This window comes from Homo sapiens, chromosome 1 (assembly GCF_000001405.40).
Source record: "Homo sapiens chromosome 1, GRCh38.p14 Primary Assembly".
NCBI lineage: Eukaryota > Metazoa > Chordata > Mammalia > Primates > Hominidae > Homo > Homo sapiens.
The window spans coordinates 42,784,965-42,803,817 of NC_000001.11; the positions used below are offsets into that span (position 1 = coordinate 42,784,965).

Genomic DNA, 18,853 nt, shown 5'->3' on the forward strand with positions numbered 1-18,853 from the left:
GGTGGGAGTGAGAGGCGCTCCTCGCTAGGGCTGGCCCCCTCCACCGCACAGGAAACGGGGCAGGAGGGCGGACCCCCATCTCATGTAGGAATGCCGTGTCCCCAGGGTGAGCCCTCAGGTGAGCCTCCGCGGCCGCGTGGAAGGGGCGAGAAGGGCGCTGCCCGGGTGCTGTCGGCGACCAGCCCGGCTCCATCTTCCCGATGTGGTCGCGGCTGAAGCCGGGCCTGGGCATTCTCGGGACAGCCAGAGTGGGCCAGGGGACCACGTCCCATCCCCAGAGGCCGGCCCTCCGTCGGAGGGTTTCCAGCCTCCAGGAAAGGAGCGGGGGCTGGGAGGGGAGGGGGTCTGTAACTGGCATGAGCGGCGTCGTCGCCGTGCCTGTGCCACGCGTGTCGCCGGCTGGAGAGCTCCGCCTGGATGGTTTCACTCCGCGGAGGCGCCGCCCCGCCACTCAGTTAGAAACCTCAGAGCCATATTCAACTCTCGTCTCCTCTGCAGCACCACTGCCACAGCCCTGCTTTTCTCCTCACGTCCACCCTCCTCGCCCCCACCCCCGTCTCCTGGCCGGTTTCCTTTTCTGCAGTTTGCCGCCTCCAAGCCGCCCTGCGCTTCCTGCCCGTGTCTGACAAAGACTCTGCTCCCTTACTGAACACCACAGTGCCCGCCACGGGCTGCCACTCAAGGTCACATCCGCACGACCACCCCCTGCAGCCTACCTGCCAGTGTCATCTCTGGTCACCCCTCCCTCCCAGGATCCATCTCCTCATCGTGCTTCCGCACCTGCGGTTCATTCCCTGGGCCAAGAATGTCCCTCCTAATTCTTTGTTCATCCTTAGAGACCCTGATAAATGTCACCACAGGAGTGGAACCTTCCCCTGCCCCACCCCAGACTTAGTCTCTCCACAACAGCTTGCACATCCCCTTGTCCAACATTACACTTGTCCCTACACACAGCTGCCTCCTCTACCAGACTCTGAGCTGCTGGAGTGTGCGGCCTGGCTCTTGTTCTCCTCATCCCCCACCCCACACACAAGGCCCGGCACAGAGCAGCCATTGGCAATAAATAAACCGCATTTTAAAAAATGAGTAAGTGGAAGACCATAAGAACTGGGTAGTTGCTGGGTATGCGGAAGGGGCTGGACTGTTGAGCGTTCATCTGAGGCTTCTTGGAGGCCACACTGGGCAGGGTTAGATGGAAGGTCAATAGATTTGGTGCAGCGAGAGGACCTCAGGGAAGCACCAGAGTGACCTGTGATGTTAATTTAACAAACACAGAACAACTTCTATTGTCAGGCCTCATACTGGGTACAGGGACCTCGGCCAGCACTCAAATTGCATTCCCTGTAGGAAAGCCAGTGTAGGCGGTGCCCAAACAGAGTGCCAAGTGTCACATGGTAAGCACAAGAAGACAAGACCATACAGATGAGGGGCACCTAACGTGCTCAGGGGTGATGTCAGAGGGGCTTCCCAAAGAGGAGCACCACCCAACCCAAGTCCAAAGGGAGGTTCTGAGAAGGGTGGGGAGGACTGAGAGGAAGCTGGGAGAGCTGAGCAGAGCTGGCATACCAAACGCAGGAGTTGGACTCCATCCTGAGGGCATTCAAGAAGCTGGGGAGTGACCAGATCACCTGCAGTCTCGTGCTGTGCCAAGCCTCAGCCCTCGCCCCTCCTGGGAGCCTTCTCACCCCGTGGCAGGCTGAGCCCCTTTTCGGTGCTCCATTAGTAGCCCGGTCGCCTCTTTTCTGTGCAGGGTTAGGTACTGTGGCTAAACTGTGTCCTTTGGTCTTAATCTTCTCTGTGTCCCAAGCACCAGGCACCACATCTTGCCCCTGGCCAAACATTTGCTGAATGAGTGGGTGGTTCCTTATTTCTGTTGTCCTCTACAGCCCTTACTCTCAATTCCACATCCTTTCACACCTGGGACCTGTGCATTCTGCTGCAAACAGCATTTAACTGGGAAAGAGGAGACTCAAATCAAATCCTGGCTCCACCATTTACTGGACAAGTCACATAACTCTCCTGAAACCTCAGTTTCCCCATCTGTAAGATAAGGTACCACTATGAATAGGGTCTAAGTCTCTACATGTATGCAAGAGACTCATTTCCTTGGATAGGTTGTAAACTCTGTGATGGTAGGGACCAAGGTTTCTACCAGCACCCAGCTCAGGCACAGCATATAACCAATACAATGTTCAGTCCTCTTGGTTGGTAGACAGCAGAGCACAGGGGAAAGAACACTTAAGGCAAAATTGTAACTTTTGTTCTGCCACTTCTGGTGTGACCTTGAGCTAGGTTCTTCCCATCTCTGAGTCTTCCTTGCTTTACCTGGAAAGTAGGGACAAGAACCCTTGCCTGGCCGGGCGCGGTGGCTCACGCCTGTAATCCCAGCACTTTGGGAGGCCGAGGCGGGTGGATCATGAGGTCAGGAGATCGAGACCATCCTGGCTAACAAGGTGAAACCCCGTCTCTACTAAAAATACAAAAAATTAGCCGGGCGCGGTGGCGGGCGCCTGTAGTCCCAGCTACTGGGGAGGCTGAGGCAGGAGAATGGCGTGAACCCGGGAAGCGGAGCTTGCAGTGAGCCGAGATTGTGCCACTGCAGTCCGCAGTCCGGCCTGGGCGACAGAGCGAGACTCCGTCTCAAAAAAAAAAAAAAAAAAAAAAAAAAAAAGAACCCTTGCCTGACAGAGCTCACAGGGCCAATGGAAATCCTAAATGTGAAAGTGGTTTGTGAATGGAGGAGATAATGAAAGAGATAATATAGTAGACAATTGACCATTAATTAAAAATTAACCAGTGTGAAGTAGCACAGAGGCAGCAGCAATGCTTGACAGGTGGTAGACAGACCCTGGGCACCTGCTAACTGGCTCTGAGCAGCAGACAGTGGGATGTTTGATCTTGCTGGGGTCAGCCCAGAGACCCAGGAGAGACCACTACAGCGGGTTCATGGGGAGGGAGTATGCAGCAAGTCCTTTGTCCCCTTCCCTTCCCAGATTTCCCTGGCTTGCATTGCTTCTTGTCTTAGGTTTGGAGGGGCTCTGGCATACGAACGTCTTAGGAATCCCAATGGCTCTGGCCATGTAGCTACTGATCACCTTTGGTGAGTGAGGCTGGCCCATGGAGGCAGTGAGCCCAGCAGTGCTGCCCTGATAAACTCTAGTCCCAAACTCCAAGTCAGCCCTCCCAGCTGCTGGCATGTTGGTGGCAGGTTTATGAGAAAAGACCATGGTTTGTCTCAGCTCTTGTCCAGACCAGATGGGCCTGGGGCTGAACAGAGGGGCTGGATGGAGGCAGAGCTGGAGGTGAGATTAATCCTCACATCTGAAATGGGTGAGGATTAAATGAGAAAACAGATCTGGGAACACCTTGAAACTTGTTTATTTCACTCAAGTGCAGGATCTATTTGTGGCTGGTACATTTGCCCCAACCAGCGGGGCTTCTCAGTTTTGGGGAGGAATGGGGCTCTTTCTCCAAGAGACTCAGTTTCTCAAGCAGATTGAGTGTAAGGTGTACAAATGTGGTCTTAGAGTAAAAACAGAGACAAGACAGACTGTGAAGATGGGCAGGGCCAGCCAATTCCCTGTTGTGGGAGAGACTGGGAGAGACTGGGAGCACTGGGGGGCCTGGGCTGGACGGTCCCACACACACAGGGAGGCTGCTGCTGCCTCGCAGGCCTGGCCATTGAGCTCGTTCACTGCCATATCCCACACACCTCCTCCTGCTGAAATCTATGCCTGCAGCGAAGAAACAGCAGATTTAGAATCAAACAGATGGGATTTGGTTCTACTTACCATGTGACTTTGAGCAAGTATCTTCCTCTCTTTTAACTGTAGTTTCCTCATTCATAAAATAGGGGAGAATTCTAGCACCATCTCCTGAGGTTGTCAGGATCTGAGAAACAGACATGGGGATGGGAACATGGCGAAAAGATCTTTGTGAACTATTCAGTGTTGTACACTTTTTTTTTTTTTTTTTTAGACAGAGTCTCACTCGGTCACCCAGGCTGGAGTGCAGTGGTGTGATCTCGGCTCACTGCAACCTCTGCCTCCTAAGGTTCAAGCGATTCTCCTGCCTCAGCCTCCTGAGTAGCTGGGATTACAGGCATGCACCGCCACACCCGGCTAATTTTTGTATTTTTAGTAGAGACAGGGTTTCAACATGTTGGCTAGGCTGGTCTCGAACTCCTGGCCTCAGATGATCCACTTGCCTCAGCCTCCCAAAGTGCTGGGATTACAGGCATGAGCCACCGTGTCCGGCTACACATTCAGTTTTAATCTGCCGTCTCTTTCCTTGTGGGAAGTAGGCCTGCTGTTCTGACTGGGGCCTGTCAGAACCAGGACCTTGAGGCACCTCAGCTGCAGCCCTGTGCTTCAGAAGGAGTGAACTTGGACTGTGGGACAACAGGGCTTCCTGGCACTACTTCTCTCTCAAGCCAACCCTTCGTCAGTGACAAGGGCCCACCTCTCAGATGGGAGAAGGGCCCCATACCCCCTGCATTCTGGGCCATGGGGCTTCAGGAGAGTCAGCATATGGACTGGAGGGATGTCTGTGCTGTGGGGCAAAGGTGCAGTCAGAGAGGGAGTGGAAACTATGCTTGTGTTGGTTCACCCACTCTGCTGTTGAGCTTTCCCAAGACGCTGGATCCTCAGCACCTTTGTCTTCACCTCCTGAGTCTCCTTCATCTACCTCCTGTCTCCCTTAGTCCAGCCAGTGAAACAGAATGTAGGGAGGGTGCCATTCTGGGATGAGATCTAGTGGAACAGGTCCCTGGGAGCCTCTTCTGGGACTCCTTAACCTTGGGAACCCTTCGCCCCTCTCTCTTGGGCCCCAGGTAAGGGTACCAGTTTCTTCCTGAGCCATGACCAGAGCCATTCCCAGATAAATGAGGTTTCCTGGAAGGATGTTACCAGTGCCTTATCTCTGGCCAACATGGTGCTGGGGCTCTTCTCCATCATCTTCAGCTTCAGCAGGTAGGTCTGGGGCCCAGCAAGCTCTTAGCCAAGAGCTGGAGCCAATGGCATGCGGGAAGGAGAGGGAGAGTTTGGAGAGCAGGCACTGAGGCATAGGAATCCACAGTGTACCCAGGGTAAGTGCAGTGGCTTAGGAGTCAAGAGGCCAAGATCCCATGCTCAACGGTACCAGTTCATTCCAGCTATGGCAGTCTAGAATGGTTTCTGTGAGAAAGTCAATAGATTCTGTTCTGGTGGCCCTTATGCAATCTTTGGGTAGGCCACAGTTCATATTTTCTAATTCTTAGATCATATGACCTGGCAGAATATTTGAAATTAGCACTGTTCTGGGAGGTCCGAGACATTATATGTTCCCCCAAAATGTTGTAAGCAAATTCTATTTCTGTAAGTTGAATCCCATTTCAATGTTTTTGGGATGTCAGTCCTTTAAAGATAAATCCTTTATGATGCGGGTAACATCTCCTAATCTACTTGATTGTCTATAACCATCAGTAAGTGACTTCTCTTTGGATTTGTTTCTCATCCACAAAATAAGATGACTTTACCTGATGATGTTTAAGCCCCCTTCCAGCTGGAAATTTTTGTGATTCTCTAAGTCTTGGTTTTTGGAGTATAATAAAGTAGGGCACACCTACAGCAGAAAATTTCTTTTTTTAAGAAACTTTTTTTTTTTTTTTTTTAAGAGATGAGGTCTCATTATATTGCCCAGGCTGGTCTCAAACACCTGGGCTCAAGTGATCCACCTGCCTAGGCCTCCCAAAGTGCTGGGATTACAAACGTGAGCCACTGTGCCCAGCCCAGAAAATTTCTATCCTCTTAGTACAGCCTAATTTTCTAGGAGTGTTGCCATGATGGTGCCCTGAGTATTTTTATTTAACTTCAGTCCCCTTTAGATACATAGGACTAGGTCTAAACAAAGGAAATGCTGTGGTAGTTTGGAGACAGCTGAGGTCTAGGTCAGGCCCTTTGCTTCTTCTGGGTTGCCTAAGCATTGCAATCAGGGTGCAGACTTGAGAATGGGCCTCTCAGGGCAGGTTTGCTTGGAGCTGTGGTGGCAGCTTTTAGAGGGACCTGAGAGCAGGTGCTGGATGGAGGCACAGAATCAAGAATGTGGGGTATGAAAGAGCTCATGGAAATCATTTAAAGCATCAAAATACATGAGGCAAAAACTAATAGAACTGCAAGGACAAATTGATGAGTCTACTATCAAGGTTGGAGATTTCCACCCCCTCTATCAGAAACTGACAGATCCAACAGGCAGAAAATCAGCAAACACATAGTTGAAGTCAGCAACACTATTGGTCACCTGGATAAAATGGACATCTATAGAGTACTTCATCCAACCATGCAGAGTACACATTCTTCTCAAACTCACTTGGACAGATCACATTCTGGGCCATAAAACATACCTTAACAAATTTTAAAAAAGTATACTCTCAGACAACATGGAAATGAACTAGAAGTCAATAACAGAAAGATAGCTGAAAAATCCTGAAATATATGGAGATTAAACAACACACTTCTAAATGACACGTGGATAAAAGAAGAAGTCTCACGAAACATTGAAAATGTTTTGAACTAAAAAAAATGAAAACATGATTTATCAAAACTTATAGGATGCAGGGAAAGCAGTGCTTTGCTTTGAGGGAAATTTATTGCATTGAATGCATATAGTCAAGAAAAGAAAGATTTAAAATCCATAATTTAAGCTTTAACCTTAGGAAACTAGAATAAGAAAAGCAAACTAAATCCAAAGGAAGCATAAAAAGTAAAAAGTAAAAATCAGGCCGGGCGCAGTGGCACATGCCTGTAGTTCCAGCACTTTGGGAAGCTGAGGCCGGCGGATCACTTGAGGTCAGGAGCTCGAGACCAGCCTGGCCAACATGGTGAAACACCATCTCTACTAAAAATACAAAAATTAGCTGGATGTGGTGGCAAATGCCTGTAATCCCAGCTACTTAGGAGGCTGAGGCAAGAGAATCACTTGAACCTGGGAGGCGGAGGTTGCAGTGAGTGGAGATCGTGCCACTGCACTCCAGCCTGGGCAACAGAGGGACTCCATCTCAAAAAAATAAAATAAAAATTAGAGTGGCAATCAGAGAAATTGAAAACAAGAAATTAATAGAGAAAAATGGATGAAACCAAAAGCTGATTCTTTGAGAAGATCAATAAAATCAGTAAACCTCTAGCCAGGCTAACCAAGTTAAAAAAAAGACAAGACAGAAATTACCAATATCAGAAATGAAACAAGGGCCATTACTACTGATTCCACAGATATTAAAAGGATAATAAAGGAATGCTATGAACAACTCTACGCCCACAAATTTGATATCGTAGCTGAAAATAATCAATCCCTTAAAAGACATAAGTTACCAAAACTCACACAAGGAGAAACAGGTCATCTGAATAGGTTTGTATCTATTAAACAAATCATTTAGCACACACTCCTCATTTTACAGATGGGGGAACAGGCCTAGAGATGGGGTAGTGATTTACCTAAGAATTCATAGGGAGATGGTGGCAGAGGCTGGACTAGAACCTAGGTCCCCTGTGCCATCAAAAATGCCTGGAAGTTAGAGTTGGAAGGGATCTTAGTGATGTTCTAGGGGGTTTGGGGCACCCCTTTAAGACTGTAGATTGAGTTTGTGAGGGATGTAGGCATGTGTATGTGCATGTGTGGTGCAAAAAGCAGCATATATCAGAAGGGATGTGAGTGTGGGGGACATGAAGAGGTGTGTATGTGTGCAAGTGTGGGAGGTGTGTGGGAAGTATATTAGTGTATACTAATATACTAATGGGGGGCAGGGGAGAGTCTCCAGTGGAAACTGCGAAAGTGCTTCCCTGTTTGGGCTTGCTGGCCTGCACTTTAGGAAATGCCACTATGCCTCCCGGATGCTCCTGGTCAGCTTCCTGTTAGACATGGCAGTCAGGGCAATGACCAGCCACATCAACATATGCTCCAAATTGGGTGAGTTCAGGCCCCAGGCCCCTAATCCTTGCCCCCAGTAGCATCCATCTGGGGTCACCCCTTCGTCCATCCTCTAACATCCCGCAGGCCTTCATCAGGCATCCACCCCTGTTCACACCCCGCTGAGAGCAGCAGCAGCAGCAGCCCTGGAGCAGGAGTTCAGGAGCCCCGCGGTCCAGCTCCAGCTCCTCTGCTGGCTCACTTGCTGACCTTTGGGCAGTCCTTGTCCTGGCTTTCAGTTTTCTCATCTGCCCTGCTTCCCTGTTCTGGGCCCATCCAGGTATTGGAGTGGAAGTGGGTAGGGGTGGGGTGAGAGGAAGTTGGCAGAGAGGAGATGAAAATTACACCAGCAGAGCAGCTGGTTTAAAATACAGTAAAATGCTTCCATGTAAGATTTAGCGTGAAAAAAGTCCCACAGCTTATCAGTTTGTATCTGATTGTAGTCCAAGCCTTGCATGTTAAGGGATGGGAAGACTAAGATCTGAGGGGGAGATACTTGCCCAAGGCCACCGGCCAGCGCAAGGCAGAGCCAGGAGGAGATCCCGAGCTTTGATCTGAAGACTGCCCCAGGGGAGCAGCTGTTGCTTTCTGTGACCTCAGGACCCCTCTTATCACTACCCCAGCTCCCCTACTAGATGGGGGCTAAGGTGCAAGACGTGGGAGTATAAGTTCTTCTAACCTTGGGCCGTCTGGGGCAGGAGCCGAGCTGAATGACTTTGCCGTCTTCACCACCTTCGGCTTGGCCTCCGCTCTGCTCCTAGGCGTGGATGGACTTCTGAGTGGGATCCTGGCCATCATCTATGTGTCAGCTGCTTCTTTCCACTTGTGCTTTTATTCACCTGGTGAGTGGAACCAAGGTTGCCTTAGAACAGAGGGCAGGGGAGCACAGAACGGGGGGCTGTCGGGTGCCAGAAGCCTGGGGTGCAGTTACTGACTCCTTTTTTGGAGCTCCTCTTCCTTCCTCCTTGCGTGCCCCATGCCCCATGCCCACTGAAGGCTGCAGGCTGCATTGGCAGAGCCCTGGGCTGGGAGGCAAGGGCCTTCATTTCTTGGAGCAGCTGTGCCTCTTTCTCAATGCGTGACCTGTGACCTTTGGATGGAGCACATTGATTCTTGGACTAGAACTGGAGGTTGTATTCCAGTTCCTTAAAACAGATGGAGAAACCATGCTCCAGTGAGGGAAATTGTCTTGCCTAAGGTCACAAAGTGAGGGAGAGCAGATACAGCACAGGGCTTAGACTAGCAGGTCTCAAAGGACCCTTTCAGCAGAGACTTCCTAGGAGCCAGGGCACACCCTGGTCCTAGCTGGCTGCCTGCTTTCCCTTGGAAAACCAATGTAAAACCCATGCATCATCTTTGTGAATAAATGATTTTCAGCCTGCCACTGCCTTTGGGTTTAAGGGAATATTGTATCCTGGGTAGGGGAATACCCAAAGAGAGAGGGGCTTGCTTCATTTTGGTATCTTTAGAGCAGAGGGAAGCAGCTAATCTCCAGCGTTCTTCCTGGCAGGAGTCCCCTCCACATACAAGGGTCTACCCTGCCCCTATGCTTCCTGCATCTTGGCTTCCACCTCCCTTCTGACCAAAGGCAACAGGTTCATCCTCTGCTGCATGGCCTCACTCATGATTCTCTTCATGATGGACCAGAGCTACTATCCATATGACAAAATCCTGGAGTCTGAGAACTGGAAAAAATTGGTTTATATAGGAGGTGAGTGAAAATGTCACTATGGCCAGTTTGTTATCACAGTTGCTTATTGCCACTGTACCTCACCCCAGCATTTTTCTATCTCTCTTATTCTGCTTTATTTTTCCCCATAGAACTGATAATCATCTGACATATTTACTAGTTTTCTTATTGTCTATAAACACTAAACCTACCCCCAATAGAGGACTCTCTTTTATTCATGCTATTAATATAATCCCCAGTGCCTAGAAGTGTGTCAGTCACATCGTAGGTGCTCAGTATATACTTGCTAAATGTTAATAAGTTCAATAGAGATTTAGGAAGCACCCACCGTGTGCCAGGTACTGGAAATCAAATTGGTAAACTAGGCAAACAGTCCCTGCCTCTGAATCTAGAGGCTGATCACAGGGGAGACAGAGATCAAACAAATAATGGCAGAAATATCTAGAAACATGTAGGTTTACTGTATGTATTATGTAAGTGCAGGGTGCTCTGAGTGTCAGAGGGTGACCTACTTCAGGCTGGCATGATCTGAAGGGAAGGAAAGGATCCTTAAGCAGGTGTCATTTAAGTGAGACCTACAAGAGGAGTGGCCAGGTGGGGATGGGGAGGTTCAGGAGGTTCAGGCAGAGGAACAGTATGTTGTGATGGCTTTGAGGCCACAGGGGCTGGACACATTAGTGGAGCAATGTGGCTGAAACTTGCTGAGACAGCCAGTGACACAGACTGAGGCCATGAGGTGAGCAGACCTGGCAGGATTTGGGATTTGATACCAAAGGCAAATGAGGAGCCTCTAAAGGGATTTATGCAGGGAAGTGGTATGGCTGGAGCAGCAGTTTTCAATAATCACTTTGACTGCAATGTGGAGAACAGATTGTAGGTCTGAGAATGCAAGGAGGAAAACAAACTTTTTGTTCAGATGAGAGGTGATGGTGGCAGTGGAGATAAAGAGAAGTGAATGGATTTGAGATAAATGTTGGAAATAGAATTGACATTGAGGAAGGAGGAGGAGACATGGATGACTCTTAGGGTTGGGTTTGAAGTAACTGAGCACTGGGCTCCAGGCCCTGAGTTCCTGGTCACACTGGGGCCTTGCAGACGTCTCCCTAGAGCTTCCCCTGATTTAGGGCTTCCTTCAAGGAATATCAGTTTTTCTTCTCTTAAAATGTGCTCCTGTAAACAAGACAAACATCTATGGGGATCCAGAGTTCCTTCCATTATTCCCATGTGAGTCCCATCTAGTTTATAGGGTCTTCGGTTTCATCCTGACCTTTCCCTTAAGGTTTATACCTTTTGTAACATTAGCACCAACAGCCCTTTCAAAGCTCCAGGAGCTGGCTCCTCCTATGCCTTAGGTGGCAGAGGCAGAATGGTGGTGAGAAGCTTCTGGGTTTGGAAGCTTCTCAGGAAGACCTGAGCCCAAGCTCTAACTCTAGCACATATTAGTTGAACTTGGGCTAATACCTCACTGTTTTGAGCTCAATTTTATCCATCTGTAAAACGAAGCCACTAATCCCTACTTTGCAGGATTTCTGAGATTAAATGAGATAATAAATATAAATCCTCTGGCACAGATGTGTCCATTTCTAGCCTCGCCCTTCTCCTCCACCTCCCCTTCTCCTATCTCATAACAGTAGTATTGCTTAGTGTTCTTCGCTCCTGTAGATACTACTGATCCCCCTCTTCTCAAAATAAACCACATACTTGGCCTCAGCCTTCCTCAGATTGTCCTGCTGTGTGAGTAAGGGAGGAAACTGCACCTTACAGATTTTGACAACAGTTAATACCAGAGCCCTACTGGGTAGATTTCAAAATGGCTTCTGTGGACATTCCTCTTATTTGGAGTGCAGCCAGTCACCTTCTTAGACTGAGGTCCCTTCTACCCCACAGAGCTTCGTACGTCTGAGAACTGGCCTGTGACCAGCACTCTGAAACCTTATATGAAATACTTTTTTTTTTTTTTTTTACAGGGAGTAGCCGAAAATCATACATACATGGTAGAGAGGGGTCTCACTCTTTTGTCCAGGCTGATCTCAAATTCATGGATTCAAGCAATCCTCCTGCCTTGGCCTCCCAAAGTACTGTGATTACAGGCATGAGCCAACGCGCCAGCCATGTACTTTCCAAGACAACTCTGGTTTTCAGTATTGTCTTTTTGCCTCAACAGATCAATGACTATTCTTGAAATACAGTATTCCAAAATGCCCATGCATATCCTTAACTGCTTATTACTCCTAGAAGTGGTCTTCTATCAGATCATATGTTCTGATTTCTCTTACAGGATACATGGTGATCATTCCCATGGAAATACCATTGGCTCATACTCTCTTTGTCCTCTTTTTGAGCTCCCTGAGGCAGTGTGTCTAGTTTTTAAGAGTCAAGCAGAAGTGGGTTTGAATCAGGACCTCGTACAGGTTACTTCTGTTTCTTCTTATGAAAAACAGACTTAGTTCTAAACCACGGGATTATTGTGAAGTGTAAATGAAAAAAATGTACACATCTAGCAGAATGTCTAGTGCAAAATAGATATTCCACAAACGTGAGTGCTCTTTTGCCTTTTGGTGGCGAATCTGAGATGCAAATTGTGTTGGGAGTCCCCAAGACCACCCCTGAGAAGACTCACAGGACTCAGCTTGTTGTACTCATGGCTAAGATTGATTTCAGCAAAAGGATGTAAAGCAAAATCAGCAAAGGGAAAAGGTGCATGGGAAAAAGTTCAGGGGAAACCAGGTGCAAGCTTCAGAGAGTCCTCTCCCAGTAGAGTCACACGAGATGCACTTAATTCCTCAGCACTGAATTGTGATAATACAATAAAGTGTTGGCTACCAGGGAAACTGATGAGAGACTCAGTGCCCAAGTTTTACTGGGGGATGGTCATGTCAGCACCCTGTGCCTACCATGTACCAAAATTCCAGATTCCCAGAAGGAAACCAGGTGTTACCACCGTGCTTATATGGACAGTCTAGGAACAGTGAGACACTCTTATCAGTTGGGGAAAGTTTTATGTTGGTCTAGGGAACTGTTTACTATTCAAGTTTCCAGCCATCAGCCAAGGGCCAGCCTTGCAAGAAGGCCTTTCTGAGGATAGCAGTCTCAGGCCTGCACGTAAACTCTTTTCTGCATACATATCATACTGCATTGGTCGTTATCACATGTTAAATTTAAAACAATGAGGAAGATTTTTTTTTCCTAACAAGGGTTTTTGGTTTTTGTCTTGGTTTGTTTTGTTTTCCCTAACAAAGGCAATTCAGATTTATTATTGGCTGGAACTTCTGATGTGAATTTGACACAGTGGAACCTGAGACTGCATTGGGCTATACTTCTCTAGTTACTTACCTATCTCTATTAAACTGAACTTGAAGACAGGGCTCCTGTCTCTTTCTGTTTGTTTCTTAGGCACTGTGGGTGAAAAGTAAAGAATGGGAGGGTGGGGACGGGAGAGTAGAGGGTAGAAAGCATAGAAGACAGCTTCCTAGAAATTGAGTGTCTGCACTTTTTGTTCTTCCAGGTGTCATCATGCTGTTTTTCTCCCCATTGTCTCTGTCTGCTTTTTACTGCCTGATGTGGTCGCTCTCGTACATCTTCTTTCCAGATGCTCTGTGGGGCAAGGCAGCCTGTCTTTCGCCACAGCACTGAGGAAGCTAAGCAGCTCTACCAGCTCCTGCCGGCCTCTGTGGGGTTTGTGTCAGCATATTGGGTCAAGCCTGCACTAAAGCTTTGTATGTACCTGTGTTGCCATATACTAGATATATGGTATGTCTGTTGCCATGAAGTTAGAAACCCAAAGCAGGGTCAGTGAACTTCACTTCTTTGTCTTTATTCAGGGTTCTGACTCCCTTGCGGACAATACTTGTTTATGTCATGTAGAGCAGAATATCCCCCCGCCTCAAGCTCAATGTGGGCTGGGTTTGGGTTCCAGCTCCATTACCAGCCGGGTGACTGTGTGCTACTAAGGTCCATCCCTTGGAAAGGAGTGAGAGCCTTCAGAACTGGTATTGGCCTCAGCCTCAGCCCTGCCTGGTGGGGCTTCCTGAAGCATTTCTTACTCTTGCAGACTCTGGCTCTGAGAGTAGAGCCAATCACAGGACTCTCTTGTTGCCTAGTTTGAATGTGTGTAGGATTTTGTAACTTCAACATTCTGGGTTTTTTTTTTTTTTTTTTTTTTTTTTTTGAGAAGGAGTCTCGCTCTTTCACCCAGGCTGGAGTGCAGTGGAGCGATCTCGGCTCACTGCAGGCTCCGCCCCCCGGGATTCACGCCATTCTCCTGCCTCAGCCTCCCGCGTAGCTGGGACTACAGGCTCCCGCCACCTCGCCCGGCTAATTTTTTGTATTTTTAGTAGAGACGGGGGTTTCACCGTGTTAGCCAGGATGGTCTCGATCTCCTGACCTCGTGATCCGCCCGCCTCGGCCTCCCAAAGTGCTGGGATTACAAGCGTGAGCCACCGCGCCCGGCCTACATTCTGTATTTTAATAGTTCAAAGCTGCCGCCTTTTGCTTTGTTTAGCAGTTAGATACATTGGTGACACAGGGCATCATCTGGCTTGCAGGATCTCGTGTGGATTTTCTTTCCTACGCTGGAAACTACTAAACTCTAGCTATTCAGATGCCACTTCATATTCTAAAATCCAAATCAAATAGAAATAAACAGTACTGTATGGCAAAGGTGTACCTCACCGAGAACTCAGGTCCACTGAGCCCCCAGCGTAGATAGACATTCCACCTCCCAGATGGTGGAAAAAAGGATTGATGGCTGGTTCTGCTCCACCCTCAGAGACTGTGCCAGAACACCTTCTACCCTGGATATAACTTTTTTAAGTTTCCAGAACAATGTATGTGGTAAATATACATCTATTCTCAAATTAGATGTTTAAAAATAAAAACCCAAAGTAAGATTTGACTGTAACAGAATAGACGGTGCCTTCCTGTTAAATCATTCATATGTTCCTAGTTAGATGGATTTGCCTGTGTCCCAGGACTTTATATCTCCTTCAGTTTAAGTTTTGTATTTTTGCTATCTGCCATAGTGCCTGACACTCAGAAATGTTCCCTTTGTATATGAATTGATTTAGTTGTGGATTCTAGTAAGTTACATACAAGGTTTCTATAATGTGGTAAGAATTTTACAAATATACACGAGCTTAGACATTTCAATACAATGTCCTTCAATGCTGTACATCCATTTCAATGTGATGCTCCCCTTAATCAAAGCATTTTAGGAACTCCAATCTGAAAATGGTCTTCACATAAATTCTTAAGGACCAAGCAGCTGGAACAACACCACCACCACCAAAAGCGAAAAACAGGTTTTATTCTGAACTAAATTTTTTCCAAAAACCTAACATTTGAGATTAGCCAATTATGTCGTATTCTTAAATCAAATTAGGTATCATATTTGGACTCAAATGCCTTGTGGCTGTTTCTAAAATTTGAAACTATGTTGAAAGGAAAAAGATGCAATTCTGAAAGAGAATTTCCATGTCCATTTTAAGTGACAGCAGCAGAGAGAAATATACAGACCCCCAGGAGGACAGCTTTGAAAAGTAAAATGCCCATTTGGATGTGTAAATTATCGCTTGATTGTAATGGCAATAATTCATACTTAATTGCCTCCAGTTTTTTTTGTAGGTTAATGACACTAGGATAGTTATAGGTCAGCTGACAGCCGGTTAACAGAGGGATCTATGCTTCCTTGCACCTCTCTGAGAGTATGGTTATACTTCTATACGGGCTTGAGGGTCTCAGATACTAAGGCTACTCATTCAATGCCTTCACTTCCTCAGACAGTGGTTTTCTAAAATAGAATGTCTCTTCTTGGGCTTCCTCTTAGGAACAAGGGAGAAGGCCAAGACTTTAAAATCTGCACTTCTCAAATGCATACATGAAGCCAGTGGGGTTTAGGCAGTTCTCTTTGTCCTAAGCTTGAGAGAGAGTGTAGATTTCCCTCCTGGTCAACTTCTAGTCCCTTCTTCCTAACCTGAAGTCCTACTTCTGTGTCTGATAAGCGGAATCAAGTGACTGAGAATTCTGCTACTCTTTTAGCCCTGTGACCTTGAATAAAACGTTTAATCTCTCTAAGCCTATTTTCCTATCTGTAAAATGGAGGATTTACTTCCTTTCAGGGTTGTTTTGTGGATTGAACAACCGTGATGTTTTATGTGGATGAATGTAAAACACCTAGAATAATGAATGGCACGTAAAATATGTTAAATAAATGTTAGATGGCTTTCTGTCCCCTCTAGCCTTCTTCTCTTCCCATATGTACATATTTCAATTTAGAATGGTAATAATAGTTAACATTTACTATGTACAGTAAATGTATAATTAACATTTACTATATTATACCATATAACTTACTATGTGTCAGGAACCGTTCCCTGAATTTTACTATTTTACATAATCCCCTAAACAATCCAATGAGGTAGGTGACCACAGGTTTTAGGTCAGCAGTTCTCAAAGTGTGGTCTGTGGACCCCTGGGGTTCCTGAGACCCCTTCAGGGTCAAAACTGTTTTTTTGTTTTGTTTTTTTTTGAGACGGAGTCTCACGCTCACTACAAGCTCTGCTTCCCAGGTTCAAGCAATTCTCCTGTCTCAGCCTCCCGAGTACCTGGGACTATAGGTGCCCGCCACCACGCCTGGCTAATTTTTTTGTTGTTGTTGTATTTTTAGTAGAGACGGGTTTCACCGTGTTAGCCAAGATGGTCTCGATCTCCTGACCTCATGATCCATCTGTCTCCGCCTCCCAAAGTGCTGGGATTACAGGCGTGAGCCACCGTGTTTTCTTAATCCTAAAACTGGGACTAAAATGTCACTCTGTTGACATTTTTGCTAATGGAGCAAAGCAATGGTGGGCAACATGCCTGACATTCTGGTTTGAATCTAGGCAGTGGCCCTAAACAGTATTGCTAGTTAATTGTACTTTTCACTGCTGCAGGCTCACAGTAAAAAACAAAAAACTGAAGAATGTTATGATGAAGTAGTAAAAATTATTAATTTTATTAAAACTTTACCCTTGAGTACACTTCTTTTTTTTTTTTTTTAGACGGAGTTTTGTTCTTGTCACGCAGGCTGGAGTGCAATGGAGTGATCTTGGCTCACTGCAACCTCCGCCTCCTGGGTTCAAGTGATTCTCCTGCCTCAGCCTCCTGAGTAGCTGGGATTACAGGCGCCCGCCACTACACCCAGCTAATTTTTTGTATTTTTAGTAGAGACAGGGTTTCACCATGTTGGTCAGGCTGGTCTGGAACTCCTGACCTCAGGTGATCCACCTGCCTTGGCCTCCCAAAATGCTAGGATTACAGGCGTGAGCCACCGTGCCTGTCCGAGTACACATCTTTTTAATATTCTGTGGAATGAAATGGAAAGCACACATAGAACATTCCTGCTGCATACTGCAGTGATGATGGTTTTCTGGAGGAAAAGCACTGGTTTGAGTTTGAGCTGAACTCGCTTCTTTTCTTATGAAACACCAAAGGACGATTGACAGACTAGGGTTGCTCAGACTTGTCTTTCTGAAAATATAAACAGAGAGAGCCTGTTGCTTCAAGAAATAGTTCTTGTTGCCAAGGATAAAATTTGAGCTTCCAAGTGAAAAGTTAGAATTTTGGAAAACTTGTATCCAAACTCACTGTCACTGTGCGTTTGACACTTTTCCAATACTCAGACTTTTCTGGTGAGATCAGTGGGGATATTAATGAATAAATATTTCTGATGTTGTGTAATGCAATGTGGTAACATTTGGAAAATCCGCATAACTCGGTGAACCAACATTTTCTAAATGATCAGTGCATGATGTTACAAAATCATGCATGGGTGAAAGATCTGTTCATAGGGAAAGATGCAAAGACCAAAGGATTTTAATGTAATAAAGTACAAAAAGATCACTGACATGTTATCAGATTCTATATTGCAACTAACCTTTAAGAAACCACCACTCGCTGAGTTTTGGTATAGTATTAAAGATTATCTACAATGATCATAAAAGGCTATTAAAATACTCCTCCCTTTTCTAACTACATATCAATGTGAGGCCGCATTTTCTTCATATATTTCAACCGAAACAAGATGAGAATACAGTATACAGAAGCAGATATGAGAATTCAGCTTTTTTCCATTATGCTGGATATTAAAGAGATTTGCAAAAATGTAAAATGATGCCACTCCTCACTAAATGATTATTTTTGAAATTTTTTCACAAAAATATTATTTATGTTATCCTATAATGGGTTATCACTTTTAAATGAATTAGTAAATATTTTTTAAGCTTTTAACTTCTAATAAAGCAAATATGATATATACAACAATTTTTAGAGTATGTAAAACCCCTGAGACCAAAACACTTAAGAATTATTGACTTAGGGGCCGGGCACGGTGGCTCGTGCCTGTTAATTCCAGCACTTTGGGAGGCTGAGGTGGGTGGATCACTTGAGATCAGGAGTTTGAGACCAGCCTGACCAACATAGTGAAACCCTATATCTATTAAAAATACAAAAATTAGTCAGGTGTAGTGGCGGGCGCCTGTAATCCCAGCTGCTCGCGAGGCTGAGGCAGGAGAATTTCTTGAACCCAGGAGGCAGTGCTGAGATAGCACCACTGCACTCTAGCCTGAGTGACAGAGCAAGACTCCATCTCAAAAAAAAAAAAAAAGTATTGACTTAGGGAGATTAACACTTGCCCACACAATCACCAAGTAGTGGATCTTAGAGCTTGACTTCCAAAGTCAGTGTTATCATTATTGGTTTTAGATGTAAAGCTTCAAAAATATCTCTGTACCTTTGAGAAACTGGGGATGGACCACATCAGGATGAGGGAATTCTGGGCAGGTAAGCAGAGATGATGTGTTCCTAGTTTTCTTTGACTATGCTTATAAGACCCTTAGCATTCAATGTTATTCCAATTATGGACACAATGGCCTCTGGACCCCTTACGCTGGTATTTCTTAGAGGTAGAAGATAAATCTTTTTCTTTCTAAAATGTGAATAAAAGGCCAGGTATGGTGGCTCATGCCTGTAATCCCAGCATTTGGGAGGCCAGGAGTTTGAGACCAGCCTAGGCAATGTGGCGATTCCCCATCTTTACAAAAAAATTTTAAAAAACTAGCTGGGTGTGGTGGAACACATCTGTAGTCCTAGCTACTCGGGAGGCTGAGGTAGGAGGATTGCTTGAGCCCAGGAGTTCAAGGCTGCAGTGAGCCATGACTGTACCACTTGCACTCCAGCCTGGGTGACAGA

The 18,853-nt window shown here is 46.3% G+C and overlaps 1 protein-coding gene and 1 long non-coding RNA gene across 3 annotated transcripts, besides 1 other annotated feature; one reads left to right on the plus strand and one right to left on the minus strand.

Moving 5' to 3' along the window:
- Positions 27 to 768: an enhancer, noted in NCBI's record as "H3K4me1 hESC enhancer chr1:43250662-43251403 (GRCh37/hg19 assembly coordinates)". NCBI's record gives its function as "activates a minimal SCP1, AML or CMV promoter by ChIP-STARR-seq in primed H9 embryonic stem cells {active_cell/tissue: H9 hESC(primed)}" and the evidence as "EXISTENCE:reporter gene assay evidence [ECO:0000049][PMID:30033119]".
- Positions 27 to 15,863, plus strand: TMEM269 (transmembrane protein 269). Its single transcript, NM_001354602.2, has 6 exons — positions 27 to 118; positions 4,832 to 4,970; positions 7,841 to 7,938; positions 8,637 to 8,780; positions 9,449 to 9,649; positions 13,134 to 15,863. Exons 2-6 carry the CDS (start codon positions 4,930 to 4,932, stop codon positions 13,259 to 13,261), a joined length of 612 nt encoding a protein of 203 aa, NP_001341531.2. The 5' UTR covers positions 27 to 118; positions 4,832 to 4,929; the 3' UTR covers positions 13,262 to 15,863.
- On the minus strand, positions 3,357 to 8,705 carry LOC107984946 (uncharacterized). 2 transcript variants are annotated; one of them, XR_007066036.1, is made up of 2 exons: positions 8,618 to 8,705; positions 3,357 to 3,734 (listed from the first exon to the last, which is right to left on the minus strand). It is a non-coding gene; the product is annotated as an uncharacterized LOC107984946 (long non-coding RNA). The 2 variants fall into 2 exon arrangements; XR_001738020.2 differs by having other exon boundaries at positions 3,357 to 3,891; positions 8,618 to 8,702.
- Positions 15,864 to 18,853: the final 2,990 nt, after the last annotated feature.

What these genes read in the sequence shown, in the direction of transcription:
- TMEM269 (NM_001354602.2), top strand. Translation starts at nt 4,930, where the DNA reads ATGGTGCTGGGGCTCTTCTCCATCATCTTCAGCTTCAGCAG. An exon ending in CTTGTGCTTTTATTCACCTG is followed by an intron (nt 8,781 to 9,448) that starts GTGAGTGGAACC and finishes TCTTCCTGGCAG; the next exon opens with GAGTCCCCTCCACATACAAG. An exon ending in AAAATTGGTTTATATAGGAG is followed by an intron (nt 9,650 to 13,133) that starts GTGAGTGAAAAT and finishes TTGTTCTTCCAG; the next exon opens with GTGTCATCATGCTGTTTTTC.